Here is a 12,835-nt window from a genome sequence, read left to right as displayed (position 1 = left end):
ATATTCTGTAGTTTCAAAACCCTTAAGTGTTCCAAAATCGTTCAGCACAAATCATCACTCCCCTTGTGCCAAGACTCCCCGGTGTACCATTGCTCTCTACCTTTTAGAAACTTCAGAGTCATCATTACTCGCTGAAAAAAATAAGCTGAACTTTCCCGATTCCTTCATTTTTATGTTGTTTTCTCCCTCTAGCTGACACAAGGGTGGACCTTCAATTATCGTGTTGAAATCCTGTCTGTCCTTTCCTCCCACCTCACACCACTTTCACACACAGTCATTCCTTACCCTTTCAACCAGCTGTGATCTTGCCTTCTTTCAACATACATAGTACTTTTCTGCCATTAGAGGAACTATGTATTACTCTAACGTGAACTCTCATCATTCGGTTACAGGCTTTGTCTCTCTTCTTAATCATAAACTTGTTGGGAGCAGAGAATCTCTGGGAATTATTTTTCTTTCCTTTATATATCTTGTATAGGGATTTGCTCAGAGCAGATATGCAAGAAAATATGCTGAATTGAAAAGAGCAATCTATAGGTTTTTATTAATACCGCATATTTTAATTGAATAGACATATTCAGATCTAGATAGTTCTACTGTTCTAATTACTTGTACTCATTTTTATTTTATTCTGGACAGCAAGGAAAAGCAAAATTATTGATACGTACATATTTAAAAAAAACACCCTTAAAAATAATTAATGTACAGGCATGGTGGGTCATGCCTGTAATCTCAGCACTTTGGGAGGTTGAGGCAGGTGGATCACTTGAGCCCAGGAGTTCAAGACCAGCCTGGGCAACGTGGAGAAACCCCATCTTTGAAAAAAAAAATTAGCCAGGTGTGGTGGTATGCACCTGCAGTCCCAGTAGCTCAAGAGGCTAAGGTGGGAGGATTGCTTGAGCTCATGAAGTTGAGGCTGCAGTGAGCCATGATCACACCACTGCATCTCCCGCCTGGGCAACAGAGCAAGACCCTGCCAAAAAAAAAAAAAAAAAAGGAAAAGAAAATAAAAAAATAATAATTAAAATATCATTTCAATACAGAACCATTTAAATTACTTTAGAGGCAGAAAAACAACATTAATAATACAGGGCAAAAGAGTTGAAAGTAGGATGAGAAAAAAGAGCAACATACATTTAGGAGATGCCCTCAATAAGCAACCTAAAAAGAGCAAACCTTTTAGAAATCAGAGTGAAATGACAATCACATCTCGTGTTTTTGTTTGTTTGTTTTTTGTTTTTTGAGACAGAGTCTCACTCTGTCACCCAGGCTGGAGTGCAATGGTGCAATCTCAGCTCACTGCAACTTCCATTTCCTGAGTTCAAGCAATTATCCTACCTCAGCCTCCCAAGTAGCTCAGATTACAGGCACCTGCCACCACACCCAGCTAATGTTTGTGTTTTTGTTAGTATAGACAGGGTCTCACCATGTTGGCCAGGCTGGTCCCGAATTTCTGACCTCAGGTGATCCGCCCGCCTCAGCTTCCCAAAGTGCTGGGATTACAGGCATGAGCCACTGCGCCAGGCCACATCTCGTGTTTTTAGAAAAGTGAGTCAAAGCTACTGTTATGCAGAGGAAAGAGCCTAATCAAACACTGAAGAAGAAATATGATTCCAGAAAAATATGATTCTAATTACAAGACAATATCTTTGTGAAAAGATCTGTTCATTTTAGAATTTTCACACATCGTACACTGTTCCTCTATAACACCAGTTTTAAACTAAGGATCCATAGCAAAATCATATATGGAACTTTAAAAATCCACTTCAGAACAACTAAATTATTTTCTTCTGGAAAGGGAGGATGGTACATGTGCATTTTAAAATACCTACAGAGGTGATTCTGATTCATGCCCCTGTCATAGATGCAAGGTTTATGGGTCGCAAGCTATATGAGGCTCTGTAGGAAAAAAAATGAATAAAAATTAAAAAGAAGACCCATACAAATGAGGAGTCTTAATTTTCAGTCTCGAGGTAAACCTGCCTCTGTCTCTTTGTACATAGAACAATATTGATTAGATTTATCTCTTCTAGACAGCTATGACATCACTCTATTACTATATTTTCATCAATAATAAAATAATTTTCATTACCAATAAAAAGGGTAATTGCGAATATTTCTTGAATGCTCACAATCTCACTGCATATCAGATACCATGCTGATCCCTTCATGTGTACGCTTATTTTAACTTGCTCAACAATCCTACGAGGTTTAAGTACAACTAGTTATCCCCACTCTCTGAATGTGGAAAGTGAGATTTACTGAAGTGAAGTAATGTGTACAAAGTTAAACAATTGTTAAATGTTAAAGCTGAGATTTAAACTATTAATTCAGTTGCTTGGAGCAAGTGTTTGAGATTAAGGCGAGAGATATGGGTCCTCAAACTTAGCGTTTTTCTCAGTTGCATAACTACAACATATAAATCTGGTTTGGGACATGCCATTCTGCAAATATGCACTGTTTTACCTTGTCAGACTGGGAAAGTATGTATATATAGGTGCATCAAAACAAATGCATTGATTAAAGTAGGTAAATCAAAGGGATGTTTTGACATTTTGTGTCAACTTTAAGTGATCAAACTTCCTCTTGGCCCAGAAACAACCGCGCCTGCAGTTCAAACAGTATTTCACAAGATGGCTCCCTTGCTATTTTTAGTTGCAACTTACATAATAAAATCCTACATGACAGTTGTAAATTTCAAAATCTATAGGAAGTTACAAGTTTCTTATGTTATTTTTTGAATGAGCTTCTACCAAACATTTTTTGGTAGCAAGATACATTCATATAACCTAGAATTGCAGCTAAACGTTGAAGGGCTATTCCTTTGCAAAGAAATTTTGCCAAAGAACAATAATAATCTACCTGTAGATTGTTTCCAAACTTTCCCAGCTGTTTCCTGAATACATTTGAAATGCATGCTGTTCTCATAGTCCTTCTCAGGCTCCACAAGTGTCTCACAGTGAGAATATTTAACTATTCTGGATTTCATTTCGAGTGTTTAAAGATATGCATTTTGTTAATAAAACACGAGCACTAAATATTGGCCAACTATTTTATCTGAAGCTCAAGCCAATCAAGAGAGAACTGTTCAAGGCGTAATAAAATTATATTTCTGTCAATTGCTGTAAATTCATGTGTTATTTAAATACTGATGATCTGATTCTCCTCTTATTCCAAGAGGAGAAGAAAAATAATTCTGTAGCATTAAGGAAATGGAGAACTATTTCTTAGCACAAAATTTGAGTAACTTAAGTTTTCCTGTGTATTGAAAGAGATCATAAATTAGGAATCTGAACTTCTATCACAAAGCACTTTCTGGAAATCACACTTTAAAGAGTATTGTTAAAAGACTTTTCCAATATAATTTGATGTTGTATTCCTGACCAGACTTGGCATCAAACAATAAACCATAAAATCAATAAATAAAAGTCTACTATAGCAGTAAACTGATAGAACTATATAATTCCTCTGTCATCAAATTGTCCTAAAGTAACACATTAGACATAACATATATTTTTTTCATTTTAGAAAGCTGGATCTTGGTGGACATAAGTAATCTAAAGTGCCAAGAAATCCATGCTATCTTTGATTCACAGTAATTTTTCTCAACTGCAAATAGACTTATTCAAATTTATTTTCAAGTGTACTGAAGGTAACGTAGCATAGCAGTTAAGACTTCAGGCTCTAGAGCCCAGGTGTCTTGGTTTAAATCCTAGCTCTGCTACTCTGTCACTGAGAAAGTTACACACTGCTATGTGCCTCAGTCTCCCCATGTATAAAACAGTAAAAGGAATACATAATATAACAAACATAAAGAACTTAGCATGAAGCATGCCACATAGTAAGCAGTCCATGAGTATCAGCCAGCTAAAGTCACTTTCATGGCCACCAAGCATAGCTCAGGTAGTACCACTGAAGCTCAGAATAAGGGTCTGATGTCAATAAAAAATAATGGTGGCAATGATGATGATGCTAATGATGATAGCACTTTCTCTCCTGAAACATATTTCAAGTAAGGAGTGGTTGAGTCAAAATTCTCTTTTCACACTCTTCACTTTGCAGAATACGCAACCATAGAAAACAGCTACTTGATATTCAGTCAAATAATCTGTGAAATGAAGTGCTCTAAATTACTGTTCACCTTTCATTCTCCTAGCCAAACAGACATTAGCAGCTGTGAGAATATTTAATCCTTCATTAGTAAGTGGTATAATAATTTTATGACAGCAAAGCCTGTTATTTTGAAGGCGTTAACTTTGACATCCCTCACAGAATTGCTCGACCGTATCTTGTTTAAGATGGCCTATTAATTTTTATATTCACAATATAAACCACCACGAACTGAGGTGGGAAAAGCCTCTGAATTTTTTAAGCAAAATCATTAAATGTAAGCATAGACACAGCCAATAGAATTCTGACCCCATCACTACACAAAGTGGAAAACTGAGGCCAAAAAAAATGAAATATTGGTGGCAATAAGGCAGAATAGATTGAAGAGATAAAACTCAAGGTTTTCAAGTACTGACTGTCTATATTGAATATAATTTTACTTGAAATAAGGGTGTAAGGAACGAGCCGTGCCTTGACTATTACCTTGTGGTAGCAATTCAAAACTCATCAACTACTGTCTGTCTCAGACAGGAGAGAGAAAGCAAGTGACAGCCAACCCACCTGAATGATGTGTAACTATACAGATCCTGAATCTGAGTGATGACAGCTGAAGTTGGGTCATTTAGATGAAAGGCTACATCACTAAAACCATTAAGGGGCATCGATTAAACTCAATTTAATGCAATATCCATTACCATTTTTAAAATTCATCTCTGGTATGGGATTCGGCTCCCATGTACACTTTTATTTTGACAAATATCTTCAAAATAATTTATTTCTGTATCTTAGTTTTTAAAAGATACACATTAGAAAAAAGGGCATATGTTTACATTTTTAAAAACTGTACCCTCAGCATCAAAAGAGTAATGCCATTTAGCCTAAATATCATACAAGGTTTTCTCACACATGGTAAAGGCAGATATACTTTACTTAATTCAATATTTACAAGTAAACAAAGTGTTGGGAGACACATCAGAGATATAGTCCAGTGTTTTTCATACTGATTTCTTGCAAATTACTTGTAGACAGTAATTTTCCAAAGGTGACGATTTTTACTTGTAGAAAGTGTTTTCCAAAGGCAACAATGGCATAGCCCTTCCACTTAGAAAGATAGGGTCTTAGAACTAAGTCCCTAAACCATTAGGAGGAAAGGCGAACATATATCATCAGTTCACTTAAAATTTGTGGTACAACATAGATACTCTACATTTTTCAAAATGTAATTCAATACAGGTCTGGCTCCCCTGGCCACTAGAGGCAGAGGTCAGAGTTAAGAGGTTATAAGTGCCAACACTACAAGCTAGGCTCTGTAGGCTTAAAACACCACAATGGCATGTGCCTGCTGCATGATTAGGCACATTGTTTAATTTCTCAATGCTTTGGCGTACTTATCCAAAAATGTGAATAATGGAAACAACCACCTTATAGGGTTGTTATAAGAATGAAATTTCATAACATATGTAAAACACTTAAAACCTGGCACATACCACATGCTAAATACTGTTACACAAGAGACCATACAAAAGGCAAGTCTTTCAATCTAATGCCATAATTTTTCTGACCTATGACATTTTAAAACCCACTGATACCAAGGCCTACAATGTTAAGGGCAAATCAAAAGTGGCCCAGCCAGTGTACAAAGGCAAATCTGTGTGACCTCAAAGTCCTGCCCTCCTATAGAAACAGGCAGCCTTCCCTTGGATACAAAACACTTCCACTTCTGCCTCACCACAGATACACTTACACAGACACACACACGCATAGCACATGCACAAATAGATCTATTTATCTGTTTTATACATGTTAGAAATTCAATTTAAAAAAAAGGATTCTAGGGCCTGGGAGGCAGAGAAGAAATATGAAAGCCACTATTCCACATCACACTTCGTCTTCGCACCTTAGTTTCCTACACACTTTCTCATTTGATCTTGAAGTGAAGTACAAACACAAAAAAGATAATTATGAGAAGGCCCACCCTTGCTCTAAATGTGGACTCTTAGTGTGTTTTCCCCTTTCTGTAATCTCTTCACAGCTATGATGACTACCTCAGATTACATCCTTCATCCTAAATTTAGTCTATTAGAAAAGCAAATGCTGGAACCCAGGATTTTAGCAAGAAATCAACAAAACAACTTTCAAAGACAACTAAGAAAAGCAGCTAGAAAAAAAAAATATTTCTTCATTTCCATAACAATTCAGAGCCTACAGAGAGAGAATATGGAAAATTTTATACTCAGCAGAAGAAAGTAGACTGAAATGCACTCATTGGCAACCAACTATAACTATGCTATTCCACTACTGAGCCTGCTCACATTGAATCAAGTAGAAAGAACATTTGAGGCTCCAACTTCACTGTCTGTCCACAAATTAGAAACACCAATCCAAAGTAAAAACAAGTAACGTAAAAAAACAGAAAAGAAAGATCACCTTTTAGACTCCATTAAAATTGTTCCTCTCATTCCCAGTCTATTTTGCTGTTCAGTTTTCCCCAAAGCTATATAATTAACACATAACATGCTATATTACTTACTTTCCTATTAAGTTTCTAACTAAATTTTTGTCTATTTTAATATAATACTTCTAGATTATGTACTCCAACCATGTAGAAGTTGTTCCATGAAAACTCTGTAAATATTTTGTGAGGAAATGGAAGAATGATTCAAAAGAGCATGTCTCCAAAAATAGTATACTGCAGGACCCAGAATATGTTTGGAAATCACAACAGGAGAGAATAAAACGTAAAGCCAACAAAAAATAAATTCACTGTGATTTAAAGACAAAATTAGGAAAAGAGATGAGTAAAAAAATAGATGATTGAAAGGAAACTGAATATGCAATTGCAAAATTAAAATCTGTATTCAATGTAATTAAGGAGTAGAAGAGAAATAGTACAAACTCAAGTCAGTGATGCAGCTCACAGAATATAAAAGATTTCCCAGAATTACAGAAAAAAAGTAATGGAAGAAAGAATTTCAAAAGACAAATGAAATATAGACAGAACTGAGGATACGAAAGCAACAGAAAATTTTCCAGCGTCTTTGAAGATGGAAAGGCAGAACCATCAGCATAGAATAGCTGAAACTATAATGTAATAGAAAACTTTCTCTAAAAACAACGAATTAACTGGAATAAGTGCAGGATTTTTAAAAAATCTCTTAAAAAATGAAAACAGCAGTTAGTTGGAAAATAGATTACTAATAAAAGAAGAAATTCAGGTTAATATCAAACTTCTCCCTGCAGTTGCCAGGAGACAATAAAGAACAATTTATAGAGTTGTGGTAGGAAAAGTTGTGATCCCAGAATTTTATACCCAGCCAAATTAGCTTTCATGTGTGAAAGCAAGAGAAAGCCATTTGCAAGTATGAAATATTTATTGCACCTATGTACCTTCATTTAAGAAAAGTATCTGAGGGTTATATAAACTAATCGTGAGATAAATCTTCAGAATAACAAGATACAGTCATGTGCTGCGTAACATTTGGTCACAGATAGACCACATATACAACAGCAGTCTCAAAAGATTATAACAGAGCTGAAAAATTCCTATCGTCTAGTGACATCATAGAACAACATATTACCCACGTTTGTGGTGATGCTGATATAGAAAATCTACTGCACTTCTCATTATATAAAAGTACAGCACGTACAATTATGTACAGTACATAAAACCTGATGATAGAAAAAGTTACTATGGTACTGGTTTATGTATTTACTATATTATACCTTTTATTATTATTTTAGATTGTACTCCTTCTACTTATAAGAAAAAACGTTAACCGTAATAGATATTCTAGGAGAAGTTATTGTTATCATAGGAGATGACAGCTCCATGCATGTTATCAATAAAGACTTTCCAGTGGGAAAAAATACGGAGGTGGAACACAGTGATATTGATGATCCTAACCCTGTGTAGGTCTAGGCTAGTGTGTGTGTTTGTGTCTTGGCTTTTAACAAAAATATTGAAAAAGTTTTTAAAAATTAATAGAAAAAAAGCATATAAAATAAGAATGTAAATAAAATATTTTTGTACAGCTGTAAAATGAATTTTAAGCTAAGTATTATTACAAAAGAATTAAAAAGCTCAAAAACATTAAAAAGTTTATAAAGTAAAACAGTTATGGAAAGCTAATTTATTATTGAAGAGAGAAAAATATTTTTCATAAATTTAGTGCAGCCTAAGTGAAGAGTGTTTTTTAAAGTCTACAGTATTGTGCACCAATGTCCTCGGCCTTTACAATCACTCACCACTCACTCACTGACCCATGAAAGCAACTTCCAGTCCCACAAGACTCATTTATGGTAAGTCCCTACACAAGTGTACTATTTTTAAAAAATCTTTTATACCATTTATTTTGTGCATCTTTTCTATGTTTAGGTATGTTTAGATACACAAATACTTACCATTATCTAACACTTGCCTACAGTACTTAGTACAGTAACATGCTGCACCTGTCTGTAGCCTAGAAGCAATAGGCTATAGCAGATAGCCTAGGTGTGTACATCTAGGTTTGTGTAAGTTCACTCCATGATGTTTGCACAGTGAGGAAGTTGCTGAATGACACATTTTTCAGGAAATGTCACTGTCGATAAGTGACACATGACTGTATATGGCACATCACACTGTTTTTCTCACAGTTTAAGTGACATATATTGGATCTCACATTGGATGATACAACAATTTAGATGACTGAATCACCTTGCCTAAAGAATGAGTCAACAAAACTTTTTTCCCCCTTAGAAAAGTAAAGACAGACAGTATAACTAGTAGCCACTGTAAATGACAAGTAATGGCTTTCTGTATCAGTGAAGTTCATATTATAATACCTGAGTCATTGTTTATTTTTATGTTTTCATTTTGAAGCCTAATAAGTCAATGAAAGACAGATACTTATGCCAGCAAACTCAAATTTATAACATCCATAAAGACCAATGATACTGGCATGTTAAATATCTCTAAAAATCAGTGATTATGGTATAATATCAACTAAGTCAACTATACATAGGAAAATCACTGTAAAAGAAACATGGTCCTATCTAGTTATTTCCCTTTTTTATACACTTCTGTATTATTCTATTTTTATGTTAATCACATATTACCATATATGAGAAAAGACCAATCTATATATATACTTTGATAACAAGTCACCTCATAATATTTTTAAAAATCGGGGAAAAAGGCATTAAAAACTGGTACTGGATTAACTCATACATATATATGTCATACCATACATATACTTTTTTTTTGAACCTCCACCTCCTGGGTTCAAGCAATTCTCCTGCCTCAGTCCCCCAAATAGCTGGGATTGCAGGCATGCACCACCAAGTCCAGCTAATTTTGTATTTTTAGTAGAGATGGGATTTCACCATGTTGGTTAGGCTGGTCTCAAACTGCTGATCTCAGGTGATCCACCCACCTTGGCCTCCCAAAGTGTTGGGATTACAGCTGTGAGCCACCACACCCAGCCATGTATATATTTTTTTAAAAAATACCCATTGCAAACAAAAAATGGTCATCAACATGGGATTCATGAAATTATGACCTATGCCTAAAAGGAAAACTATGTAGCTGCTAAAACAATAAAGCAAATCTTCAACGAATGATTTTTTAAAATTTCATGACCTCTTATTATGTGGAGGTAGCAAGATATAGTGAGCTTCACTTGTATAACAAAGGAATGTATCTATATTAATTATAGACACACACACTTTCACACACACATATCCATACATAAATGATTCCTAGAATGATAAGAAATGGTAATCATATTTGACTCTGTAGGGGATGAGACACTGAAGGATCAGCTGCAGGAGGAAGACTTACCTGTCACTCTACATTCTTTACACTGCTTGTTTGTTTCTTATTGCTTAATGATGTATAGACACTCCTTATTAATTTTTAATAAAAGCATATAGTATTTTATTTTAAATGAGTATGCTATTAATTCCTCACTATTTGTATGCCCAAAGTTGCCATGTGAAAGAATATGATTTTCTTTCTGCATTAACATAAGCAAAGCACCTATCTTAAGTTGCCTTGATTTATATGCCCTTCCTAGAGTTTCCATGAATTTAAAAAGATAACCAGCACTGCACATCTTTGGACTTTCAGCAAACATTTATAAAAGTCAGCCAGGAAATACTGTAGAAAGACAAAGAGTGTATGCGAAGTGATTTGCAATCAAGTCTATGCTATTACTTTTCTTTCTCTCATCATCCACATCAAGAGTGGCTTTATCATAACAATCTCCTTTCTATTATCATAAACTCATAATTTTCTTTTTTGAGACAGGGTCTCCCGCTGTTGCCCAGGTTGGAGTGCAGTGGCATGATTATGGCTCACTGTAGCCACCATGCTCGGCTAATTATTTTTTCTTTTGTAGAGACAAGGATCTTGCAATGTTGCCCAGGCTGGTCTCAAACTCCTGAACTCAGCAATTCTTGGCCTCCCGAAGTGATGGGATTATAAGAGTGAGCCGCTGTACCTGGTCTATACACCCACAATTTCTATCCCCTGATTTTTTCCTCTAAAAATATAGTGATCCCTTTTTCTGACACTTAGATTTCATTTTCTTGAAATTTTTCCCCCAAAGTCTGAATTTTTTAAACCAGAATGTCATGGCTTGAGATTGGTAGCACTCTAGTTTTCTTAAATGTAACATTTTGTATCATATTTACAGAAAACAACTCAGAATCTGCAGGAGAGGAGTACTGAAAATATCTGACACTATAACATCACCCAGAGCTAAGCAGTAGAATGAGATTTTCTTATTTTTAGAAATACATTTCCCTGTGGTTTCCGTCTGAGCCCTATATACTCAGTTTTTGAAGCAGTTATTTTGTCTGCTAGCACCTACATTGGAACATGTTACTACGTTTCTAATACAGTATTTTCTCTCAATTTTTGAAGTAGCACAAAATTGCACTTTTTATCAATCTGAAAATTAAAACAAATTATACAAGCCAATGGTTCTAAACCCTTTTGTGGTTTATGGACCCCTTTGAGAATCTGATATGTGCTGTGGACCCTCTCTTCAGAACATGATTTCAGGCTCTTAAAGCTTATCCAGCTGTCTTCCAATAGTTCATAAAAATTGAGTCACAAACCTTATTTCAATCTTCGATGAAAAACAGGGAAAAACAAATACAGCAGCTTATTTAAAAATGAGAAATTTTATTTGCATAGTAATTAGGTTATTTACCACTGTTAAATACATTATCCTTTTGAGTTTTCACAAAACCCTGTGAGATAGCAAGTGCAATTATTATCATTCATCTATTAGAAAGTCATTTAGACTATTCACCTGAAGGAAGTAAATAACTCGGAAAAGTTCAATGACCTGGTCAAAAGCACAAAGTGAAAAAATATTAGAATCAGGATTCAAATCAGGTATTCTATTTATAAATCTTATTTTTCTTCACCTTACATTCTTTCCTTTAGTCCAGTATTTGGCAAACTTTTTCTGTAAAGGAACTGATAGTAAATATTTTCAGCTTTGGAGGCCATACGGTCTCTGCTGTAAGTATTTGATTCTGCCATTATAGCATGAAGGCAGCCAAAGTCAATACAAAACAAATGGGCATGGCTGTGTTCTAATAATTACATAAAACAGGTGACATGCTTGATTTTGCTCATGGGTTATAGTTTTCTGACCCTGAATTATCACCTTTATGAAATAAATGACCTAAATCTTTTAACTTATTTTCCTAAATAGTTTGAATGTTTTTATCATCGTGATATTGACCTTGTTAAGTGATCATTGGTACAATACTCTAAATGCTAATGGAAACCCTAAGTAATATCATCACCAATAACAGCAAAATCTCTGCCAAAAACCTATGATAAAACTGTTACATATTAATTTTCATTTTTATTTTGAGACAATTTCACTGATGAAACCATCATCTAGGAAGGTACTTTTGAAACATAATCCCCTTCAATAACACAATAGGAGTCAATATTACATGGAAAAAATTAAATTTTTTTGGCATTAATAAAGTTAAGAAGACACAGTTTGGAAAAGCAAATTAAAATATAAAATACAGTTTTTTATCATGTTAAATGACTTTGGATATTGAATAACATTAAAGGAGGGTATAATATTAGTATACGTGTTTACAAAAAGATTATGGAAGTCATCAAGGCTGTCATCAGATATCCTGCTTCACTTGAGCACCCTTGAAGTTGGTTTGGCCAATGTCATATGAGTGAAAACAACATGTGCACTTGTATAAAGCTTTATCAGCCGGTGTTCAATGTGCCTCATTCTGGTCCCTAAGCCACAGGGATCATGGAAGAACCTGGAACACCACCTGCAAAGGTCTCTTAGCGAGTACAATGAGGAGAACCCTCCTGCCTATCCACACTGGACACTGACTGTAAACAAGAAATAGACTTTTGTAAGGCCATCATGATATGGGAATTGTCACAGAATATATCTTAGCATATCCTAACTAATATAAGAGCATAGATTTTAAAAAATCATTTAAAAAGGTTTATACTAATATTAATCTTTATTATGCTTGGTTAATTAAAAGAAATACCTCAAGATAACATTATATGCTATTTTGAGGCCAGGCATGGTGGCTCACACCTGTAATCCTAGCACTTTGAGAGGCCGACGGTGGGTGGACTGCTTGAGCTCAGGAGTTCGAGACAAGCCTGGGCAACATGATGAGACCCTGACTCTACTAAAAATATAAAAAATTAGCTGGACATGGTGGCACA

The 12,835-nt window shown here is 35.0% G+C and overlaps 1 protein-coding gene across 7 annotated transcripts in view; it reads right to left on the bottom strand.

Annotated features, from left to right (window-relative positions):
- Window positions 1-12,835, bottom strand: part of KCNK2 (potassium two pore domain channel subfamily K member 2) — a 231,549-nt gene that overhangs the window by 88,014 nt on the left and 130,700 nt on the right. The gene's annotated exons all lie outside the window — the stretch shown is intronic.

The sequence above is a fragment of the Homo sapiens genome, chromosome 1 (genome assembly GCF_000001405.40).
Source record: "Homo sapiens chromosome 1, GRCh38.p14 Primary Assembly".
Lineage (NCBI taxonomy): Eukaryota > Metazoa > Chordata > Mammalia > Primates > Hominidae > Homo > Homo sapiens.
This window is presented reverse-complemented; position numbering and strand designations above follow the sequence as displayed.